The 24,746-nt window shown below is 46.4% G+C and overlaps 1 protein-coding gene across 11 annotated transcripts in view, besides 2 other annotated features; it reads right to left on the reverse strand.

The window, feature by feature from the left end:
* Window positions 1-24,746, reverse strand: part of GLIS1 (GLIS family zinc finger 1) — a 232,926-nt gene that overhangs the window by 105,427 nt on the left and 102,753 nt on the right. The window lies entirely within an intron of this gene.
* Window positions 5,280-5,446: a silencer, noted in NCBI's record as "fragment chr1:54082618-54082784 (GRCh37/hg19 assembly coordinates)". NCBI's record gives its function as "represses an EF-1alpha promoter that drives an FKBP-Casp9 reporter gene in an ReSE screen in HepG2 liver carcinoma cells {active_cell/tissue: HepG2}" and the evidence as "EXISTENCE:reporter gene assay evidence [ECO:0000049][PMID:32094911]".
* Window positions 8,893-9,397: an enhancer, noted in NCBI's record as "H3K4me1 hESC enhancer chr1:54086231-54086735 (GRCh37/hg19 assembly coordinates)". NCBI's record gives its function as "activates a minimal SCP1, AML or CMV promoter by ChIP-STARR-seq in primed H9 embryonic stem cells {active_cell/tissue: H9 hESC(primed)}" and the evidence as "EXISTENCE:reporter gene assay evidence [ECO:0000049][PMID:30033119]".

Genomic DNA, 24,746 nt, shown 5'->3' on the forward strand with positions numbered 1-24,746 from the left:
TGCTCTGTTTCTGGCTCATCCATTCTTCTAGATGCTGCCTGTCAGGGTCCTCAACTGAAAGTTTGGGATACCAAGCTTCTTCTTTGCTGACCCTGAACTTCACATTTGTCTTCCTAGAACTTGAAGCTGTTAAAAGCTCTGCCTAATTTATCAACTTCTTTTTTCTTTTTCTTCTTCCTCTTCTCAGAGACAGGGTCTCACTCTGTTGCCCAGGCTGGAGTGCAATGGTGCAATCAGAGCACACTGCAGCCCCAAACTCCCAGGCTCAAGGGATCCTCCCACCAGAGCCTCCCAAGTAGCTGGGACTACAGGCCCATACCACCATGGCCAGCTAATTTTTTAATTTTTGTAGATACCATGTCTTGCTATATTGCCCAGGGGGTCTCAAACTACTGGCCTCAAGTGATCTTCCCCCCTCAACTTCCTAAAGTCCTGAGATTACAGGTGTAAACCATCACACCTAGCCCACTTCTCAACTTCATAACTGCCACATCTGTTGGTTTCTTTACCCCTTAGCCTGTGCCATGCATAAATCAGCAAATAACTTGAAGGAAAAGCAATGCTGAATGTTAGGCTTACTTTTTGTTTTTTTTAGATGGAGTCTCGCTCTGTCACCCAAGCTGGAGTGCAGTGGCGCGATCTCGGCTCACAGCAAGCTCCGCCTCCCGGGTTCACACCATCCTCCTGCCTCAGCCTCCTAAGTAGCTGGGACTACAGGTGCCCGCCACCACATCCAGCTAATTTTTTTGTATTTTTAGTAGAGACGGGGTTTCACTGTGTTAGCCAGAATAGTCTCAATCTCCTGACCTCGTGATCCACCCACCTCGGCCTCCCAAAGTGCTGGGACTACAGGTGTGAGCCACCGCGCCTGGCCTGTTAGGCTTACTTTTTGGCACTTCCCCATCTCCCTGGGATCTTGACCCCTCATGATCTGCCTGTCTCAGTAGCCCTTAACTCCAATTTTTGTCTCCACAGCACAGTAAGGCTATAGAAAGATCTGTTGAGCTCTCTGACTCTTGGCCCCACATTACCTACAGATTGGCTAATGCCTGAAAGGAAGAAGAGGCACAGTGTCATATTCACCTTAGTGCATTTCCCTTCTCTCTGGTGTCTTGGTCCCTCAAGTCCTAGCTGTCTCATTAGTTCTTTGATGCCTTTTTTTTTTTTTTTTGAGATGGGGTCTCGCTCTGTCACCCAGGCTGGAGTGCAGTGGCACGATCTCGACTCACAGCAAGCTCTGCCTCCCAGGTTTACACCATTCTCCTGCCTCAGCCTCCCGAGTAGCTGGAACTACAGGCACCCACCACCACGTGCGGCTAATTTTTGCATTTTTAGTAGACATGGGGTTTCACCATGTTGGCCAGGCTGGTCTCAAACTCCTGACCTCAGGTGATCCACCCACCTTGGCCTCCCAAAGTGCTGGGATTACAGGCGTGAGCCCAGCCAGTTCTTTGATGCCTTTAAACAAATGCTTTTTATATTTTATCCAGAGGAAATATTAGTCCGATACAAGCTAATTTGCTATAGCAGATGCAAAAATCCCCTTTTAACAAATAATTTTAATGACTCTATAGATTCCATTCTATGGTTGTACATATTTAATTTTTCCTCATGGTTGGAATTAAAATTATTTGGAGAAGTGAAAAACTCAAAACGACCATTTAATGAATGTCTTTATAGACCTATCTTCATGTCCATCCATATTTATAGCCTTAGGATAAATTCCTAGATGTGGGACTGCAGAGTCAAAGAATATGCAAAATTTTAAGCATTTATAACAGAAAAGAATAGGAGATAGCCTATATATCCAATAATAGAAGAATGAGTAAGTAAATTATTGTGAAGTTATTCAGCAGAAATTTTATGTAGCTATTGAATATGATACAGTGAAACCCTACCATAATGCAATAAGTGTGACCCAAAAGCTTCAATAAATTAAACATGCAGAGCTGTGTTATTATGTAATTTAAAAATGATATTTTTGGTGGTTTTTTTTTCAGTTAATGTGTGGGAAAAAATGTTTACATTGATTAAATATGTAAGAAACAGCCCACTTATTACAAAGTCCACACCACACAAGGAACTGAGAAAGTCTCAAATGATTTATGAGGCAGTCACTTCCTAAACCCATCCATTCCCCCACAGCTCCACAGAAAAGATGAATTCTCACTGCCCCATTTGTAAAGAGGCTGGACAGAGGACAGCAACAACTACCAATGGCCAACCATGTTTTATATGAATTTGCCTCATCACAAGTCATGGGTTTCTCTAGATTTACTCAAGTTTTCAGTCACAAAGGAAAATATTTATAAGAATTAATTATAAGCGCAGGATTCAAAATTCCATATACTAAAAATGACCTGAAGAGTAAAAAGAATGGCAAATCAATACATCAAATGTTAACAATTCATTCATTTAACACATGGATATTGAATGCCTACTATATGCCAGGACCAGGCACCAAAAATGCGGTGTTCCAGTGATGAATGAGAAAGGAAAGTCTCTACTCTTATGCGGTTTACATTCCAATAACAGGACAGTTTCAAAAGTACACAAATAAATATATACTGTAATATCAGGAACTGATTAATGTTATAAATTAAAATGAAAACAAGAAGTTAGAAAGTAAAGAGAGACAGGACAGTCAGAGAAGGTGTCTCCAAGGGGGTGACATTTGAACAGAGGCCTGAGGGGAGGGAGGGCATGCCAGGAAGGGGAAGCAGCAGGGTACAAAGGACCCGAGGCTGGAGTGCGTTCCAGGGCGGGAACACAGGCCAGGTGTGGCTGGAGCCTAGCAAGCAAGGTGACGGAGGCAGGCAGTGAGGCCACAGAGCAGGGTCTGGGGGCTGCGGTGAGGATGCTGGGTGTTATTCCAGTGTGGCAGGAAGCCACTGGAAAGCAGGGCACAACCAGACTCGACAGGTGGGAAACGCTCTCTGAGTTTTGTGTTGAAAAAGACTTTAGAAAGAAAAGCGTAGATGCAGGGAGGTGGTGGCTTTGGGATTAGGGGTGTTAAAAGCTCTATATTCCTTTTTTGGATTAAGGGGACTGTTCTGTTTCCTCATTGGAGTGGTGGCAATGTGACTCTATGCATTTGTCAGATCTCACAGAATTGTTCTCTCACACGCACACACACGCACACACATGCACACACATACTCTTTCACACACATGCACACACACGGACTCTCACCCTCTCACACACTCATACACACTCTCTTATACTCACATATTCGTGCACACACTCACACACACTCTCACACACATATGCATTCTCTGTAAATTTACTGTACATAAATTTTTAAATAATTTTTAAAAATCTCTATATTATATATTTTGAAATATTTCACATTGTTTTAATAATAAAAAGACTGCAAACAAAATCCTTGAGAATAAACCTAAGACAGAATGGGACTAGACGGTGGTCCTCTAACTCAGCACAGACCCTCCCCCAGGGTCTGTGAATAGTTCCCTGTCCCTCCTGGCCCACCTCTAGTAATTTGACGGCAGGGGTCAGGAGGACACTCTCAGATGCTGGCCCAGGGAACTGCTGGGTATCCTTCCCCTTGGTGGCTGATGGATGGAAACAGGTGCATCCACATGAGATAAGGCGGCTGGCAGGAGGGCTGTGCAGGGCTTCCTCCTCCTCAGGGCAGGTCTGCGAGGGCCTCTGCCCTCTCTTCCCTCCTAGTGCCATCTCCCAGGCTCCCCATGTCTCCCAACTCCTACCCTGTGAAAGGCTGCACCACTGCCCGGTGTGAGTGACCACTAGTGCCTCTCTAGGGCCAAGGGAGACTCCAGGCTGGGGTGCAAAGCAAGGTCCCAAGGAGCTGGAGCTGGTAGAAGAAGGCACTGAGAGTATTTAACATATTTCTGTATCTCCCAAGGGTTGGGAGGGATGGTCTAGTAAGTAAACCCCAACATCCTTTAAACTTCTCAGATTTTACCTTTTATCATACTGAGCTAGTATGATTCCAAAATTCAAAATTTGGGATTTATATGCAACAGGGATTCTATAATTCCATGAATCTCTCATTCTAAGATGATATGATTTTATTTATTTATTTTATTCATTTATTTATTTTATTTTTATTTTTTTTGGAGACAGAGTCTTGCTCTGTTACCCAGGCTGGAGTGGGATGGCACCATCTCGGCTCACTGCAACCTCCACCTCCTGGATTCAAGCAATAACTCATGCCTCAGCCTTCCGAGTAGTTGGGATTACAGGCGTGCGCAACCACACCTGGCTAATTTTTGTATTTTAGTAGAGACAGGGTTTCAACATGTTGCCCAGGCTGGTCTCGAATTCCTGAGCTCAGGCAATCCACCCACCTCGGCCTGCCAAAGTGCTGGGATTACAGGCAAGAGCCACCGCACCCAGCTCTAAGGTAATACAATTTTATAAAGCTAAGCACTTCAATTACTGCTTCTAAGATTCCATGATCCCACAAATCTGTCATGAGGAGATTCTGAAGTTATAAAATTCCATGATTCTCTGATCCCAAGGCTGCCATTTCCTGATATGTCCTAGAGCCCCATATAAGCCCCTGCCCGGCCTAAATTTTCAGGGAGCGACAGCGATGGTGACCAACACTCAAAACAGCCAGGACAGTAATGGGATGACAAGAAATGCAGAGGAAATGGCTGTTGAAATCGCTAAGAAAATGTATCAGAGATAAACATATTCCATCTGCGTTTTCAGTACATACAGGGCCATAGATGCTTATGTCAGGTATATATTTATTACTTCATGCTTGGCATTTTTTAACCTTCTCCTTTAAATCAAGCTAATTAGGTAACTCCTGTGCCCACACTGGTTTTTTCCCCCTCACTGATAAAATGCCTTCAAATGGCTCAAAAATATACAAAGTGTAAGAAGGACTCCATGACAGCAACAGGGTTGGGTGGGGGATGCCCAGCTCTGGACAGGAGAGGGGTGTGTGGGAGACAGGGATGCCAACACCTGACAACCCCTCTCTCCACCTCCCTCCATCTTGGGTCTCCATGAGAAGGACTGGTAGCTCTGAGTGAGATAATGTCACTGTCCTGGGGGACAATGCAGACACCCTGGACACCTCAGCTCTCCAGGAACGGGCACAATCCGGAGATCCAGCCCGGAGCAGACAGGGGCAAGAGTTCCAAGTCCCTCCGAGGCTCGGGATTTCTGGATTCTGTGGAAAAGATTATTTGTTCCACCATGTGGCCAGAAATAGGGAAAGGGCTACTGGGGAAGTCACAGCTTTGGCTTCTGAAAAATCCCACCCCCAACCCCATCTCCACCCCAGACCTGAACCCACCCAGATCCCAGGCTCCCTCCTCCAGGAAGATTTCCCTGACCAGCCCCACCCCATGGGGCTTCATGCAATCCTCTCTGCCCTCCTCCAGAGGGCCTAGAGCCAGCCTAGGCCCTAGGCTGGAGTCAGCCTGCACGCTCAGCCCGCCAGGAACAACAGGCCCTCAGACATCACTGTGGCAGAGGTTCCAAGGTGGGGTTCCACCCCAGGGGACACACTGGAAATCATGGGGGTGGATTTCTGGTGGCTGCCATGACTGGGAGTACTTGTCATTTAGTGGGGAGCAGCCAGGGATGGCCAACTCACCACCAAGAGTGGGTGGGTCAGTCTCACACTAACTTTCTAATATCTTGCCAGATATTCAACTATCTGTAAACAAGCAACCTGATCATCTAAGCCTAGAACATAGCTCCATTTTACATTTAAATACAAGTACTTTCTCATGGTTTTAAGAGACACTAAATTTTCCAGGAATGGAACTGCCATGTAAATTGAGGAAAGACTATGCTGTGTTTTGTTTGGGAGCTGACCAGGGATTGTTCACCATCTCAGAAAATCACATCACCCTCGGCCACGCTACTTGTGACATCTGTGTGTTTGCAGCCATCAAGCTTAGCAATGCCGCACACGGGCAATTGGCCGATGACTTCATCCCATCTTCCAGCACAGTCATGCCTGAGTGTGTGAATGTGGAAATACATTGTTTACAAGTTATTTCCCTTTTAGTTCTTCTTCAATATAAAACCTTATATGAAAAATTTTTAAAAGATGGTGCAGGCCGGCTATGTTATCGGTGCATTTCATTTCAGGAGAGCAAAGGAGGCAGTTCAAAGAAGGCCCTGTTAAGAAAAGGAAGCGCTGCTGAGAACCTCAGCTCCCAGCCATCCTTCTTCAGGTAGGGAAAGCAAGGTCTCCCCCAAGGTCACAGAGTGAGTGGGGGTGAGCAGGACTGTGTCTTGATTTCTTGCATCCCAGGGACTATTTCTGGATTCAGTGACAGAGTCCTGAGCCCAGAGGGACCCACAAGAAGGCAAGCATATGGTTCCTTTGAAAGCTCCCCAGGGAAGGTGAGCAGGCAGTCCAGGCCCTGTGCTGGGGCACAAGGTGGGAGAGTGCAGGGCTGACTCCAGAAAGCCCAGAAAGGGCAGGCCTGGGGAAGGGACCTCGGCAGGGACAGTCTCCCCACTGGCCGATCAGCAGAGAGGGTTTGAGAACCTGAGACGGAGCTCACCTCCCCAACCCTTGCCCATCCCAAAACTTCCCCTTCTCCCGCTGTAAGTGATCAGCTGCCAGCTTGCAGAACAAATGCAGAAATGAATACACCAGGTGAGAACTGGGCTAGGCCTTGGATGCCACTCAAGCCTCTGCTGCCAGGAAAGACTGCTAGAAAGATGAGAGATAAGAAGCCCTTTCTCTAAGATGCAGGCCCCTAGGGTGGGTCACCAGGCCACAGTCCCAGCTCTGGCCTTTACAACATTATTAGTTGAAACCCACTGGTTTCTCTCAAGAGACAGGAGGTGGAAACTAATGAACATTTCCATGAAGCAGCACCTAGCAGTGTTTTCATCCAATTAGGAGCAGGCCTCTGTGAGGGGCAGGGAGGCTGCAGACTTGCCCCTGGCCCTGCCTGTAGCTGTGCACAGGGCTGCACCAGCCCACACAGGACCACATTGCCCTGACTTCTGAGGATGCAAAGGGGGGTTTCTAGGAAAGTCGAGGGGCTGATGAAGGGCAGCCCACTCACAGATACTGCTGCTGCTGCTGCCAACATTGCCAAGGAGAAAGCCTGTCCATGAGACCATACTTTACCTCCATCAGGAAGCAGCAGGTGCTCATGCAAGTAGGGCTCCCTATTCAGGCCTGACCCTCTTTTTCACACTTGAGGTCAAGAATCCAGGGAAAGGACCCCCAGGCAGGAAGCAGAGCCCAGAGTTCTAGTCCTACCCTGGCTCTTAACTCACTTTCTGTCTTAGGCAGCAACCAGACCCTAGGCTTCAGTTCCCTTTTCTGTAAAACAAACACAGTAGACTGGAGATGCCTCTAAATGTTCTGTCGTCTTCTAATCCCAGACAGCCACTGTGAATCCCCTGTCAAAAGGCTTCATGATCCAGAGGCGGGGCTGGTCTTGGACCAGACCTCTGCCTCTCCCTCCTCTGGCCCCAGCATTTGGACTCTTCATGGTGGACAGGCCTGCCTGGTCTGGCCTGGTTGCCGCCTCCCAAGACCCTTTCTGGCATGGGCCAAAGAGAACACCCATCCACCCACCCTGAGCTGGGCACTGGGGCCCAGAGATGAGGCAGATACTGCTGCTGCCCTCAGGAGCCCTCAGCCTGGTGACAACATGGACCAGAACTGCAATGCCCTAAGGATGAGGTGCACACCTGCCTTCCCTTATCCTTCTTTAGTGGGGCCGCTGCTTCTAGGAAGGCTTCCCTGACCCTGCCACAGGGTTGGCCATTCCCCACTACAGCCCTTACCATGGGATGTGAGTGTTGTGTCTGCACCTAAGGGCCAGAACACTGTGCTAAACATTTCATCTAAGCCTCTCAACAGTCTTGCTAGATACATCAATCAGCCCATTTTACAGATGAGGAAACCAAGGCCAGGATGTTGAAATGACTTCTCCGGAATAACACATCTAGAAGGAGACATACTTGGGGTTCATCCCCAGGGCTGGTGATTCCAGACTACAGTCCTCAGCCCAGGGCTCCAGTGATCACCCTATACTCAACCCGCCAGGCGGCCCACAGGCCAGGAGAAGCCATTCCTATGGGAACTGTACACACCTTGAGAAGCATCCCTCAGCCATTCCACTGTAAGGTGGCAGGACTAAAACAGATCTAAAAGATAATCTTGTTTTACATAAGAGGGAGACTGAGGCCCAGTGAGCGTGAAGGGCTGTCCAAGGTGACACTGGGGCCAGTGGCCAAGTCAGGACCAGAACCCAGTCCTCCAGAGTTCCCATCAGGCAGTCATTGCAGAGCGCCTAGCTGCTGCCTCCTAAAGGTGGCCAGAGAGGATGATGCTCTCCTCTCCTTGGCATCCTGGGAGGTACGGGACATTTACAGGAACAACTTGGTTTATGAGTGTGTCTCAAAGGTTCTCTGGTTAGTTCTGCAAGGCTGAGATCAGCATTAATCCTGCTGGAGAGATGAGGACACTGAGTTTGGGCAGTGATGACAGTCATACCAGGATTCGATGCAGAGTTGTCTGGGGCAAAGCTCTCCTAGGCTGCTGGGCTCTGTCCAGCACTTCACGTTTACACAGATGACCTCATTAGTCCTCACTGGTTAGGGCTGACCTGTACTTCTGACGCCAGCTCAGTGCCCCAGCATCTTGTCTTCAGACCAGCGCTGACATCGCAGTGTACCACCTTGATGCTCCATCTGGTCAGAGGACAGGGTGAACAGAAAATGGGCGGGGGGGCCACCTGGGCTCAGGGCACAACTTCCCCAAAGCTTGCCTGCTTTTCTTCTCACTGCCAGTTTATGCCGGCAGAGCTGGGGCAGCTCACTGCCAAGCACAGGGACCCCGTCGGCGGCTTGGCCATGAATGAGTACAGTGTTTGGTACTAGTCAACAAGATGGATGTTGTTTCGTTTCGGCTCCACGCACCGTAAACATTCTGTGGCAGACGCAGCTCCAGGTGGCTCACTGGCTCTCATCCGCAGCTGGGCCGGCCTGCAAAGGCCCATTAACATGGACATAAACAAGGAGGGCTGGGGGTGGAAGGCGGGAGACTGCAGGGCCTGTCCCACTTTCAGGGAGAAGAACACAAAAGAGCAGAAATCCCGGAGCCAGGCTGGAGGTGGAGGCAGCCGATGGAGGACGAACAGGACCCAGCCTGGTGCCTGTTCTAGCTCTAATGCTGATCCACTAAGCGACCTTCAGCAAGCCTCACACCGTATCCAGATCTCAGTTTCCTCATCTGAGAAAGAGAAATGGGCTCCACTGTCAGGCTACAATAAGGCCCATAGAAATGGTTTATCAAGAAGCTGACTGGGCCAGTAGCTGCATGAGGACAAGGACTCCATCTGATCCATTTTGGCCCTGGGGATAGGAACATAGGCTTTAGAGACAGCCAGCCTGGTCTGGAATCTGAACTTTGCCCCTCACCTGCCAGTGTGGTCTTGGCCAGGTAACCTAACCTCTCTGTGCCTCCATTCCCTTATCTGTCAAATGCAGATCATCATACTAGTTGCAGGGGTTTATTGTGAGGATCAAGTGAGATAATGCCCCATGGGACACTTAGCTCAGGGCCTGGCACACAGTCCATAAAGGGTCACTCTCATTCTGTATCCCCCCCAAGTCTCCCCCAGCCCAGCCAGGAGCAGGCCAGCCAAGGCCAGGGATGGCCAGGTCTTGTGGGGCTCTCCCTCCTGGTCTAAGAGGATCTTTGGATCCCACACCAAGTACTCAGCCTGCCTGGCGCCTATGTGGGCCTCACAGCCCGGCCCCAGACACCAAGCCCCAGGCCCGTGTGGGAGGTGGGCCAACTTGATGAACATCTATTCTCCAAGTGCCAGTTGGCTAAAAATCAATGTGTCAAATGACCAATTCGTCAAAAGCCAATTAGCCACAAATTACTTCGCCAAATGGCTACATTCCCAAAATTTCCAAATAAACAGTTACCCAAAACTTGTTTATTTTAACCATTTATAAAGATGACAACAATTTATGTTAGAAGAGATGGTTTTAGTTTTAGTAATACGTTTTCATTTTGTGTTCATAGCAGCATTTAAAAAATATATTAAAATGGTCAAAATCAAGGATTATGGGTGAGTTTCTTCTTATTTCGTATTTGCTGTTCAGTTTATTTCATTTGATTTGGTCATCAGACATCAATGTTTCATACAGAAAAATTTTTTTTTTTTGAGACGGAGTCTCACTCTCGCCAGGTTGGAGTGCAGTGGTGCAATCTCCGCTCACTGCAATCTCTGCCTCCTGGGTTCAGGTGATTCTCCTGCCTCAGCTTCCCGAGTGGCTGGGACTACAGGCCCATGCCATCTGTATTTTTTAGTAGAGATGGGGTTTCACCAGGTTGGCCAGGATGGTCTCGACCTCTTGATCTGCCCATCTCAGCCTCCCAAAGTGCTGGGATTACAGACGTGCCACTGCGTCCGGCCTCATACAGGAAATCTTAAAGTTACACTGTATAGAAGGTTGAATGGTGGCCCCTTGAAAGATATTCCGGGCACAGTGGCTCACGCCTGTAATCCCAGCACTTTGGGAGGCCGAGGTGGGTGGATCACTAGAGGTCAGGAGTTCGAGACCAGCCTGGCCAACATGGTGAAACCCTGTCTCTACTAAAAATACAAATACTAGCTGGGTGTGGTGGTGTGCGCCTGTAATCCCAGCTACTCGGGAGACTGAGGAAGGAGAATCATTTGAACCTGGGAGGCGAAGGTTGCAGTGAGCCGAGATCGCACCACTGCAACTCTACCTGGACAACAGAGCTAGACTATGTCTCAAAAAAAAAAAAAAAAAAAAAAAGAAGAAGAAGAAGAAGAAGATATTCCATGTCAAATCTCCAGAATTGGTGAATGTTATCTTATTTGGAAAAAGGGTATTGGCAGATGCAATGAAGTTAAGGATTTTAAGATGAGATCACCCTGGACTATCCCAGTGGGCCCTAAATCCAAACAGAAGCATCCTTATGAGAGACATACACAGGAGAGACAGGCAGACAGACAGGGAAGAGGCGACATGGCCAGGAGACGGATGCTGGTCTGCCTCAAGTCAGGAAATGCCAACAGCCACCAGAGGCCCAAAGAGGCAAAGATTCTCCCCCGGAGCCTCCAGAGGGAGCAAGGCCCTGCCGACACCTTGATTTTGGACTTCTGGCCTCCAGAACTATAAGAGGATAAATATCTGTTGTTTTAAATTTTCTGTTGTTTAAAATTTGTGGGTAATTTGTCGCAGTAGCCTCAGGAAATACATGCTTTTTAAAAAAATTATTCTTTGCCATTTTCTGTTTTACCAATTCTTATCTTTTTTTAAAGCATTCTTTTGCTAATGTCTTAAGAAATGTATTAACCTCAGTTTGTTTCTAGTAATTAACACATGACTGTGATATGGTTACTTATGCTGCTTCTTAGTTTATTACTTTAGCCATTTTTTAGGACTTTTTATGATTTACAACCAACTTTCAAAATTCTTTCTTTACAATTTCATATTAATGGTTAATGTGTATCGAATCTGATATCTGCTTTTTAAAAATAAATCAAATTCAGCAATATATATTAATAGAAAAGATAACAAACACATCATGACCAAGTGAGGTTTAGAGAGTATAAGGTTCTAAATTGAGAAACATAATTCACTTAATCAAAAGAATAAAGAAGAGCCATATGATCAGCTCCATAGACACAGAAAAAGTAGTACCCACTGATGATTAAAATTCTCAGCATACTAGAAACAGAAAAGAATTTCCTCAAAATAATAAAGTATATCAATGATAAACTATAGCTAACATCATGCTTAATGGTGAAAGGCTGAATGTTTCCCCCCAAGACTGGGAACAAAGCAAGGATGTCCGCACTCACTACTTCTATTTAACATTATTATTAGATGTCTTAGCTAGTGCAGTTCAGTAAGAAAGGAAAAAAGCATGAAGATGGAAAAAGAAGCATAACTCTTTAACCTCAGATAACATGATTGTTTACATAAAAAGTCCTATGGAATCTCTAAAAACAAAAGAAAGAATAAATTAGACACGTTGCAAGATATAATAAAACATAATAAATATTGCAAACATAATAAAATGAATTTTAATTCTCTATACTAGAGGAAATAACAGGAAGATGGGATTTGAAAGCAATACCACATATAATAGCATCAGAAAACACAAAATGCTTAGAAATAAAGTTACAAAAGCTATTCATATATAAGACCTTTCAATGAAAAATAGACCTTTCACTGCTACTGAGAGAAAGCAAAGAAAACCTTAATAAATGAGGAGAGATACTATGTTCATGGATGAAGGATTAAATATTAAGATGTCAATTCTATCCAGATTGACCTGTAAATTTAATGCCATCTCAACCAAGACTCCAGTAGGCTTTTTGGTAAAATTTGACAAGTTGATTCCAAAATACATATGTGAAAATATTAGAGATCTAGAATAGCCAAAACAATATTGAAAATTAAGAACAAAGTTGGAGAACTCACACTATCTGATTTCAAGACTTTCTACAAATCTACAGTAATCAAGACAGGGTGGCACTGGCATAAGAATAGACATAGATCAACAGAACAAACAAAGTCTACAATTAAATCCACATTTACATGGTCATTTGATTTTTTACAAGGGTGCCAAGGCAAACCAATGAGAGAAAGAAATCTTTTCAACAAATGATGCTAGAAAAACTGGATAACTGTATGGAAAAGATGACCTTGACTCCTATCTCACACCACACATGAAAATTAATTTATAATGCATCATCAACCTAAACTTAGAACTAAAACCATAAAACTTCCAGAAAAGAGCACACTTTGGGACAGGCAAAGGCTTCTTAGAACACACAAAAAGCAGGAAACATTTTAAGAGTTGATAAATTGGACTAAATTAAAATTTTAAATCTCTTTTTTTTTTTTTTAAAGAGACGGAGTCTCCTTCTATCACCCAGGCTGGAGTGCAGTGGCGCAATCCTAGCTCACTGCAGCCTTGAACTCCTGGGCTCAAGTGATCCTCCTGCCTCAGCCTCCTGAGAAGCTAGAACTACAGGCATGTACCACCATGCCCAGCTAAAATTTAAAATCTCTGTTCTCTAAAAAGCACCATTTAGAAAGTGAAAAGGCAAGGCAGAGAATGGGGAAAATATTCCATATATATACATATATATCTCCAACAAGGCTTGTATCCAGAATATATAAATAACTCATAACTTAATAATAAAATGATAAACAACCCAATTTAAAAATGGACAAAAGACTTGAACAGACACTTCTCAACAGAAGACACACACATGAGAAGGTGCAAAGATGCTCTGGAGAAATTAAAATAAAACCAGGGGGCAATAGCAATCCTAGTCTGTTTGAATTTTTGTAACTGGACACCCACTGAAGGGCTGATGACTGCTCTATCATGAAGGACTGCATTCTTCACAGCCAGTCCAAAGAGAAAACAAATGCAAGTCCAGCTTCTGGCCGCTCCAGGCCTGGATGACAAACCTGGCTTCATTAGTATTGACCTCCTTTTCTTGCTTCTGAGCAGGAAGGAGTCAGAAAAAATTCCCTGAGGAGATGACTCTTGAGTATGAGTATGAGGAGATGACCCTGAAAGAGTATTTGCCAGGAAGATGGGGCAAGAACATCAAAAGTGCAAGGCCAGCATCTGGCCAGAGGCATGCAACAGCTGGATTTATTTGGGGGCTTTGAGTATTGCGGATCTGGGACCAGGAAGCCCAGGAAGTAAGAAGTCAGGGGCTGGCACAGATGGGGCCTGAGTGACACATCAGTAACCTTGGACTTCATCTTCTACTGTGATGAAGTCATAGATTCCATAGCTCGGCCTTGACACAACTAAATCCCAATAAGCAAACCATTTTCATTCATTAATTCATTCAAGTAGTCATTCAAAAAACATTGATTGCACATCTCCTGTTGACATTCTTGTCTCCCCATCTTAGATGGCATCCCCCAGGCCCAACCCTGGCTCTTTCTCTGGGATATACAGCCACCATGGAGTGAGCTCCTATTGTGTCTGGAGCCAGCCCTGATGCTTTGTAAGGAAAATCTTAATCCTCACATTTTCTCCATTTTGCAGATGAGAAAAGGAGAGACTCAGAGAAGAAACTGTTTCAAACCCATACTTAATTCCCAATCCCCCCTTCAGGTCAATCCATCCGTCTACACAGAAACAGTGCCCAAGTATAGGCTGAGGACCAGGCCCTGCAGCCAGCACAGGGGCGCAGGTGGCCATAACGCTGCACAGAGAAGCTCATGCCAACCTGGCAGTAGCTGTCTCTCCTATCAGAGGTGACCTGCCTTCTCCACAGAGGTCTGGGTTGGCCCCAGATGCCAGGGCTAAGTGATCTTGGAGCTGTTGGGAAGGCACCCACTTGCTCTCTAGGGCTCACGACAATGGGTACACTATCCCTTTGCTTCCTGGCAGAACCACCAGGCCCGGAGTGAGGGCCGCTCTTAGGAATGGCAAACGAGGGCAGGGCATGGTTCCAAGGCTCTAGCTTCCTCTGCTACAAGCCCACACCTCTCTTTGGCATGACCAGAACCTGGCCAAATAGTGAAGTTCCCATTACTGCAGCTAGTGGGGTTGCTAATCCAGCTAGAGTCACATAAATAAACAGCAGACACAACCCATAACTTCCCCAGGGGACAGCCTCCCTCCACCACACCCCTCCCTCCGGTCTTGCCAAGTCTGTCCTCGAGAGCCAGCAGCCTCAGCCTTTGCACACTGCCACCTCATCTCAGGAACCCCCTTCTGCTCCAAACCCTCTTCTGTGGCTCCTGTTCCCAGGGCTGCTACTCCCCAGCCTGCATCCAGGGGACCCTGAGCTGGCCGTGGAGGCCCTCCCTGACCTGAGAAGTCTCACAATCATACCATCCTGCTCTACCATCTTTATAGCACTCATCATTATTTAAAAGCATCTTGCTTATCTGTTGACATCTTTGTTTTCTGCTCGCTGAGGGCAGGGGCTTGGTCTATTTTGATGACAACCAAGATCTGAGAACACAGCCTGGCTCAGAACAGAAATTCACCAAGTATCTGCTACATGCATGAATCCTGTGAGGCCCAGCTTCAGTGATGCCCTCAGTGCAACTTTCCTACACATCCTTGCTCTGCTCCTCCGAGGTGCAGACCCCAGGGTCCACTCCCGCATCATCTGGCTCCCGTGCCTGCAGACAGAGCTGTGGCTGACATGCCCCTGCATCCTGCATCCAACCAACAACCAGCCCACCATGGGGGATTCATTCATTTTCGCTGAATAAATAAATGCATGCAATTCAGCTTCCCCACCTGTGATAAATGTGGAAGGGCTTTGTAAACTGTAGAGCACTGTGAACACACATTCTCCAGGGCCTGACGTGCCGAGGCCCTTACCACACGTCTGCTGAACTGAATCCTGGGCAGTTTCTGCCTAGGCCCTCGTTCCGGGTCCCACAACCACAGCCACACTGAGAACTATACAGCCCCAGTTAGCATGAATCTCGAACAAGGCATTACCTGAATGGCCTGGGAGGCAGAGGTTTACAAAACCAAAGAGCTGAACGCTAGGTAGTCCTGGGAGGGGGAGGTGTGGGCGGCCTGCACATGTGAGCCACAGATGGTCAGCTGGCCGATCGGGAGGGTTCTATTTCAGTGACAATTCATTTTCAGTAATTATCCCCCTCTCCTTTAAAGTCACCTAAGGCAGTCCTCGTGGGCACCGGACCGCTTCCCTGAGCGAACTTTCAAGTTATCTGCGCTTGTGGAGATGCGTGGAATTCAAAGCAGATGTGCCAAATTGAACCTCCCGCTTGCTGCTCCAGCTCCGATTTTTTTCCCCCAGCCCACTGTAAATGTTTTTAAAATGGGACCCCAGTACTAGACATGTCAAACAGCTGAACTCAAGGTAGAGGGGGCTGCCAGAAGGGAAGACGAATGAAATTTAAAATCCCTTTCGACAGATTAACTAGACGCACTTTGAAGCCATAAATCATGCAGACAGTCTAGAAGAAGCTAATAATGGATTTCGGTTTTGTTCGTATTTATTATCTTAAAGAGATAGCAGAATGCAGGGCCAATGTGCCTGGCTGGGGAGTCCACTGGGGACCTCCTAAAGCTGAGTATCAACCAGAGAGGAGGTGGAGGGGAGGAGGGACATAAGCACTAGCATTATGTACCTGTTGTGTGCCAGGCACTGGGCTTGGCATGACTTGTTTTAAGCCACAATGCCAACCATGTGAAGAAGACACTATTGTCCCCATTTTATGGATGAGGACCCCAAGATGCTCCAAGATAGCTTGCTCCAGGCTATGTGGCCTGTGTCTCTTGACTCTAAAGCCCTTGCTCTTTCTGCCCAATAGAATTTAGGTGAAAAGGGAGGACCCCGTCTGAGAGCACACTGAACCTGGGGGAGAGGGAGAGACAGCAAGGGTATGAGCACTCCAGCCCTGAGGGGCCAGTCCCCCAAGTGACCCATGCACTTCTCCAGAGCCAGGCCTTTAGCCTTGCTGTGCCCTTGCTGTGCCTTGCTGTGCCTTGCTGTACCTGGGGTGCCTTTAGTGGTCATTTCCTGAGCTTGTGTCTATGCTAGGACCTGGCCTGGGTCTCTGATCTCAATAGTGTGCCCCAGATGACAGCATTTTAGTGTTTGTCTTATTTGTCACTAGAGAGCTAGCCTCAATAGATTTGACCTTATCCACCTCTGTATTCTCCCATGGCCACACAGTAGATGCTCAACGTCCCAGCACCCTGAACACCAGCATCACATCTACCAAGGGCAGGAGAGCCATGGGAGGGACTGTACTGGCTCACTCGACACGCTTTTGAATGCCCACCTTGTACAGCACTGGGGACAGAACTGTGCACCAGAGTGCGTTCGCCAGGCTTACACCTGAGTACCAGTCACTTTATCCACGAATTTAACACCATCAGCCCTAGGCGGGAGAGACAATTATTCCCACCTAAGGGAGAGGAACCTAACTCTCAGAAGCCGAAGCCACTTGGTCAAGATCAAGCGGGATGTGCACCCACCCACAGGCACCCCCTCCACCGTCAAAGCCCCACCCCACTCATCACCTAGCAGGTCTAAGCTCAGTCTCCTGGGTGCTGATCATCAGACTCAAATGTGATACAAAACCACAGGGTGGAGACGGGATGGATTTAACAACCAAAGGCTACAATATAGGGACGGGAAACAGCACCCTGAGAGGTCAGAAGGGGTGGCCATCGGGGAAGGCTCCTGGGCACAGGACAGAATCCTGGCTCGTCTGTTTACAATTCTCCAAGACTTCCATCCACAGCAGTGGGTCCCAAACTGTCTGGCACATCAGAACGACCTGGGGAACTTGAAAAATAAATCTGGGCTCTGCTCAGGTAGATCAAATCGAATCTCACCTCTCTGATCTGATCTCCCAGACTGCATGCACATGTACACACATGGGGACATGTACACACACAGGATGTATCCACACACAGGGACACACACACACACCACACAGTCATACAGCCCAGGCTCTCCAGCTATCTACCCTTACCGTGATGTGCCAAGGATGCAACCCCGCCCCTACTCTGTGCTTTATGATGTTCTCCCTCCTGAGATGCCTTTCTACCCACTTTAACCTGGGGACTCACTCCTACCCATCCCTCAAGGCCCAGCTCAAATGCTTCCTCCCTGAAGCCCTCCCCAATCCCCTCTGTGCTTCACAGCCCATGAGCCAGCCCACATGGCAGTTGCTATCACTCTGTAGCATCATGCGGCACAGATGGCCCCAGCTGTTCCTACCCCACACTGTTAATTCTTCTAGTCTCGCTGCCTGACAGCACCTGGCTCTTAATGGTGCCCTAGAAATGAACAGCATGAGATGGGCTTCGAGAACAGGACTTGATCCAAAGATAAGGAGGGCCAAGGGCATGGCTGGGCATCTTGTTCCACTCTTCCCCAGCGTGCCACCACCACACCGGCCTCCTCCCACATCTTAGACACAGTGAGCTTGCTCCTCCTTCTGTCCCCTCTGCCCATGGGCCTGGACAGTTGCAGTGGCTGCTTCTTGTCATCAGGATCACCTTCCTGCAAGAGGCCTGACCTTCCTCAAACCCCGTCATTCTCTTTTTCTTCTCAGCACACACACTGCCTACTACATATTATTATATTTGCTCATTATCTGTCTGTCCCACTTGAATACAAGCTCCACAAGCCCAGAGAGCCTTCTTGACCATTCCTGCACACATGCAGGCCTTGAGAAGGCCACCCTAGGCCATTCAATATGGAAATGCCTTGGATTTTCCTTTCTGAGAGATATGTATGGTTGACTGTGCTCGTTCATTCGTGAATTGGGGGTGAATCTTCAAAAACTAAAAAAGAATTCCATAATTGCATCTCCCAGACTGCTCAGATTTTGATATATTCATTTTTTCACTACAACTTTCTATGTTATTGTGTGTGTATGCATACACATACATACAGATATTTAGCATCTGACTACATTGACATTTATTATTTGTTACACTAAATATCAAATCATGAGTGTTTTCCTTTGTCACTAGGGGTTCTTCAAAAGCCATCTTTAGAACGGCTGCATAATATTCCATCATGATATCACACCATGATTTATTTAGCAATTCCCTGTTGTTAGACATTGAGGTTGTTTCCAATTTTTTTGCCATTATAAATAATGCTGTGATGGGTGCTCTTGCATATAAATCACTGTCTGTCTCTCCAAATGCTTCCTTAGAAAAACTTCCAAGGGGAGGAATTCCTGGGCCAAAAGGGCTGAATATTTTCCAGGCTCATGGAACACACTGTCAAACTGCCCTCCAGAAAGATCAGCCCAATTTATACTCCCACCAGTGACTGTGAGGGGACCAATTTCTTTCTTTTTTTTTTTTTTCTTTGACAGAGTCTCACTCTGTTGCCCAGGCTGGAGTGCAATGGCACAATCTTGGCTCACTGCAACCTCTGCCTCCCGGGTTCAAGCAATTCTCCTGCCTCAGCCTCCCAAGTAGCTGGGATTACAGGTGTGTGCCACCATGGCTCGCTAATTTTTTGTATTTTTAGTAGAGATGGGGTTTCACCATGTTGGCCAGCCTGGTCTCGAACTCCAGACCTCAGGCAATCCACCCGCCTCGGCCTCCCAAAGTGCTGGGATTACAGGCATGAGCCATCGTGCCCAGCCAGAGGGAGCCAATTTCATTGCACACATCAACAAAGAGCAATAGGATTTCCTTTCTCTCTGCTAATGTGCAAGACTGAAATGATAGTTCATTTTTTTATTTGAGCTTTATAGCTAGTGGGGGCGAATATTTGAAAATACTTTTTGGCTATCTGTATTTCTTCCTCTGCCAAGTGTCTGTTCCTGTCCTTTATGCATTTTCTCTCATCATTTTGTGAGAGCTTTTTAATGTAGTAAGGATATCAGGTTTGCTCTTTGTAGCAAATACTCTTCCCAATTTTTTATTGCCTTTTATTGCTGTTTATAACTTTTTCCCCATAAAAATGTTTTAACTTTTCAAGTAGTGTAATCTAACGGGTTTTTTTAGTTGCAATTACTTTTGTGATTTATGTAAAGCTAGTCCTTTTCCAACCAGACAACAGATAAATATTTCCCTACAATACCTTCTAATTTTTTGTGGGTGGTTTCATTTTTCACACTTAACTCCTGAATCCATCTGGAATATATTTTGCAAGATAATGTAGGTGAGGATTTAACTTTATTTTCCCCCAAATAGTTAACCAATTGCCCCCATCTGTGTTATTTTAAGATCCCTATGGCAGGGTTTCCACCATCTCTGAGCAACACCAGAGAGTTATAATAATCATAAATATCACATGTATGTACTTACACTCTACAAAACATTATTCAGTCATCACATTTTTGTTGTGTACCTGCTATGTGCCAGAGACTATTCTAGGTGCTGGGATACAGCAGTGAATAAAACAGATAATAATCTCTGCTTTCATGGCATTCATCTTCTAACAGGGGACATAAACAAAAGAAATAAGTAAATTATACAGAATGTTAGTGGTATACAGGAAAATAAAACAGGAAGGGGCATATGAAATATCTGAAGGAAGGATGCACTTTTATATGGGGTGTTCAGGGAAGGCCTCACTGAGAAGTGTAACGGGTAATGACCTGAAGCAGGTGAGGGATTGAGTCATATGAGTGTCTGGGTCTCGGGGGAGGGCATTTCAGGCAGAGGGAACAGCCAGTGCCAAGGCCCTGAGGGAGCAGCAGACCTTACTAATGGCCAGGATCAGCAAGAAGCCAGTGGGCTGGTGTGGAGCAAGCCATAGAGCAAGAAAAAAAGGAGAGACAGGGGAATAAAAGAGAGGTGTGTGAATGAGTGTGAGGGATGTGTGAATGAGTGTGACTAAGGGGCGTGTGAATGAGTGTGACTGAGACCGGGGGAGTAAGAGAGAGGTGTGTGAATGAGTGTGCGGGATGTGTGAATGAGTGTGACTGAGGGGTGTGTGAATGAATGTGACTGAGGGGTGTGTGAATGAGTGTGACTGAGGGGTGTGTGACTGTGAGGGGCATGTGACTGAGGGGTATGTGAATGAGTGACTGAGGGGGCAAGTGAATGACTGAAGGGCGTGTGACTGAGTGTGACTGAGGGGTATGTGTATGAGTGTGACTGAGGGGCATGTGAATGAGTGTGACTGAGGAGAAGGGAGAGTAAGGGAGAGGTGTGTGAATGAGTGTGACAGACTGGGGGTGTAACAGATGGGTGTGTGAATGGGACTGAGGGGTGTGTGAGTGTGACTGAGGGGTGTTTGAGTGTGACTGAGGGGCATGTGGATGAATATGACTGAGGGGTGTAATGAGTGTGACTGGGGCATGTGAATGGGTGTGACTGAGGGGCATGTGAATGAGTGTGACTGAGGGGTGTAATGTGTGTGACGGGCATGTGAATGTGACTGAGGGACATGTGAATGAGTGTGACTGAGGGGCATGTGAATGAGTGTGACTGAGGGACATGTGAATGAGTGTGACGGAGGGGCATGTGAATGAGTGTGATTGAGGGGCATGTGAATGAGACTGAGGGGTGTGTGAATGAGTGTGAATGAGACTGAGGGGTGTGAATGAGTGTGACTGAGGGGCATGTATATGTGTGACCGAGGGGCGTGTGTATGAGTGTGACTGAGGGATGTGTGAATGAGTGTGACTGAGGAGAAAGGGGGAGTGAGAGAGGTGTATGAATGAGTGTGACTAAGGGGCGTGTATGTATGTGACCGAGAGGCATGTGTATGAGTGTGACTGAGGGGCGTGTGAATGAATGTGAATGAGAGGTGTGAATGAGTGTGACTGAGGGGCATGTGAATGTGACTGAGGGGCGTGTATATGTGTGACCGAGGGGTGTGTGAATGAGTGTGACTGAGGGGTGTGAATGAGTGTGACCGAGGGGCATGTGTATGAGTGTGACCGAGGGGCGTGTGTATGAGTGTGGCTGAGGGGCGTGTGAATGAGTGTGACTGAGGGGTGTGTGAGTGTGACTGAGGGGCATGTATATGTGTGACTGAGGGGCGTGTGTATGAGTGTGACCGAGGGGCATGTGAATGTGACTGTGAGGTGTGAATGTGACTGAGGAGTGTGAATGAGTGTGACTGGAGGGGCGTGTGAAGGGGCGTGTGAATATGTGACTGAGGGGTGTGAATGAGTGTGGCTGAGGGGCGTGTGAATGAGTGTGACTGGGGGGCGTGTGAATGGCTGAGGGGCGTGTGAATGGCTGAGGGGCATGTGAATGAGTGTGACTGAGGGGCTTGTGAATGAGTGTGACTGAGGGGTGTGTGTATGAGTGTGACTGAGGGGTGTGAATGAGTGTGACTGAGGGGTGTGAATGAGTGGCTGAGGGGTGTGTGAATGAGTGTGGCTGAGGGGTGTGAATGAGTGTGACTGAAGTGCGTGTGAATGTGTGTGACGGGGGACCACAGAGGGACTCGGTCCTTGTGTGGCTCTTCCTTTACCTCCATGTCTGGAAGAAATTAGGACTTCGTGAGTTTTAGGCAGAAAAGCAACATTTCTTGTGTCTCAACACTGCGTGTGTCAATCCTAGCACTACTGACATTTGGGGCTGGATAATTCTTTGTTCTTGGGGGCTGTCTTATGCATTGCAGGATGGTTAGTAACATCCACATGCATGCGTGCACACACCCAGGTGTGAGAATCAAAAATGTCTCGGCGTGGGGGGGATAGGGGGAGAAATTGCCCCAGCTGAGAACCACTTTAACAGGATCACTTTGGCCACTGTGCCAATGGGTGCAATGGCAGAGAGACCAGTTATGAGATCACGAATCCACCAGTGAACAGAGAATCATGGCGGCTTCAGCCAAGAGTGGGTGAAGTAGCTGGATTCCAGATCCACTGTGAGTGCAGAGGCATCGGGATTTATCAACAAATCAGTTATCAGGGAGTAAGAGAGAAAGGCCAAGGATGGCGCCAAAGTTTTCATCCTGAAGTCTTATAAAGATGGAGTTGCCGTTTCCTGGGATGGAGACGATGGGAGAAGGAACGGGTTTGGGGAGGACATCAGGAGCCGGATGCTGGTCACAAAAGTTTTAGACATGTTTAGACACACAAATGGAAATGCTGAACAGTGTCTACCAGCAGATCTGCAGTTTAGGAGCCAGCTCAGGTCTGGAGATAACTTTGGATCCATAGCAAGTAGACAGTGTTTGAAATGCAGTAATACAGATGAGACCACAAAGGAATGAATATAAAAAGAAAAGAAAGGGTCCAAGGGCTAAACCCTGAGCTCGCCAATGTTTAGAAGTCAGGGAGTTGAGGAAGAGTAGCCAGAGGGGAAGGAAACCAGGCATGAGTGGCGTCCTGAAGCTGTGAGAAGGAAGCGTTTCCAGGCGTGTAGAACGCTCAGCTGTGTCAAGGCTGCTTACAAGACAGACAAAATGAGGCCTGAGAATTGCCCAATGTGAGGGTGGAGCGAGGAGGGCCTCACTAGAGTTCATTTGTGAGGGAATGCGGGGAGAGAAACGAGACATTGGGCATAGACAACAATGGGCTCTGGACTCTTCTAGCACCTGTGACATCCTCTCGGCCCCACCGCTATTCCAGCCACTGCAGCTGCGGCCAATTGAAGGCAGCTTCCACAGTAGCAAGCACCTGCGAGGCCACCTCACACGTCCAACCCCAGAGTGGGTGGGGGTTAATGCCTCTGGAGCCACCTTGACCCAGGGGTATGGAAGCCCACGAATAAACGCTTCCCCTTGACAACACTGAGATGCATTCCTGCAGCTCATTAATGCATTGGCTCCCCACCGCCTTCCATCCCCCATCTCATTCCTGCTCCCTGGGATCACTTCCCAGGAACATTACCTAGACCAGAGCATGACAATCTCTGCTTTCAGGGGAGTCCAGGCTTAGACAAATGGGAAGGAGGCTGTAGTTGCATGTAGAGTCAACAGAGGTTGTCTCTGTTGTTGTTTTTTTTTTAATTCTTTTTTCAAGAAATAACAACAGGATTGTATGCTGATAGGGATGATCCAGGAGAGGGGCAAAAATTGATGCAGGAAAGAGAAGGGAGAACGGCAGGAGCAGTGGTGGCTTTGAGCAAGTGAAAGGAGGGTCCACAGTAATACTTAGGAAACCGACCGTGGACTGGGCCATAGAGCAAGCCTCGATAGTTCAAAGAATTGAAATGAACAAAACATGTCCTCTGGCCACATGTGAAAAAGACAATCAGAAATCTCATATATTTGGAAATTAAGAAACATGGCCTACAACCGGAATCAAAAACATAACGGAAATTTAAAATATTTTGAAATAATTAATAATGAAAATGCTACATATTCAAACTTCTGGAATATGGCTATCATATTCCCTAAGAAAAAATTTATGATTTTAATGTCTTAAATGTGTTTGTTAGAAGTGTTGAAACTTAATAAGTTAAATATCCACCACAAGATGTTAAAAAAAAAAAGCAAAATGAAGTAGCAAGAGAAACTATAAAGGCAAAAGTCAGCAATATAGAAAATATATATACACAGGCACACACTACAATAGGATCATAAACAAGACTAAAGCTGGTTTTTTGAAAAGATGAATAAAATCAGCTCTTGAACTACTGACAAAGACCACAAGAAAGAAGGAGGAGGCACAAATAACTAGTGTCAGGAATAAAACTGAGACAACACTTTATGCTGCAGGCAATACAAAGATGTTTACAGAATATCATGAATATTTCAAGCAAATAATTTGTGAAATGTACTCAAAATGGACAAATTCCTAGGAAAATATAATTTATCAAAACTGATAAAGACAACGGAAAAACTAAATAGTCCAATAGATATTAACATAATTGAATTAATGGTTTTAAATCTTCCCATAAAGAAAACTCCAGACCCAGTTGGCTTTTCCAGTAATTGCTATCCAACATTCAAGAAAGAAATAATTCTATTCTTATACTCATTCTTCCAGAGACTAGAAAAAGGGGGAATACTCTCCAGTTCACTGTATAAGGCTAGGAAAACTTTGGCATTAAACCTCAAAAAGGAGGCTATAAGAAAGGAAAATTACAAGTTAATTTCATTCATGAGTACAGACACAAAAATTCTAAATAAAATATTAACAAATGAAACCCAATAGCATAAAAACAGGAAAAATACATCATGACCAAGTCAGGTATATCCAAGGAACTCAAAGTTGATTTAACATTAGAAAATCACTTAACGCTATTCACCACATTAGTAGATTTTAAAAGAAGACCCTATGATCATCTCAACAATTGCAGAAAAAAGCATTTGATAAAAATTCGACATCCACTCATGATTTTA

This window comes from Homo sapiens, chromosome 1, assembly GCF_000001405.40.
Source record: "Homo sapiens chromosome 1, GRCh38.p14 Primary Assembly".
NCBI lineage: Eukaryota > Metazoa > Chordata > Mammalia > Primates > Hominidae > Homo > Homo sapiens.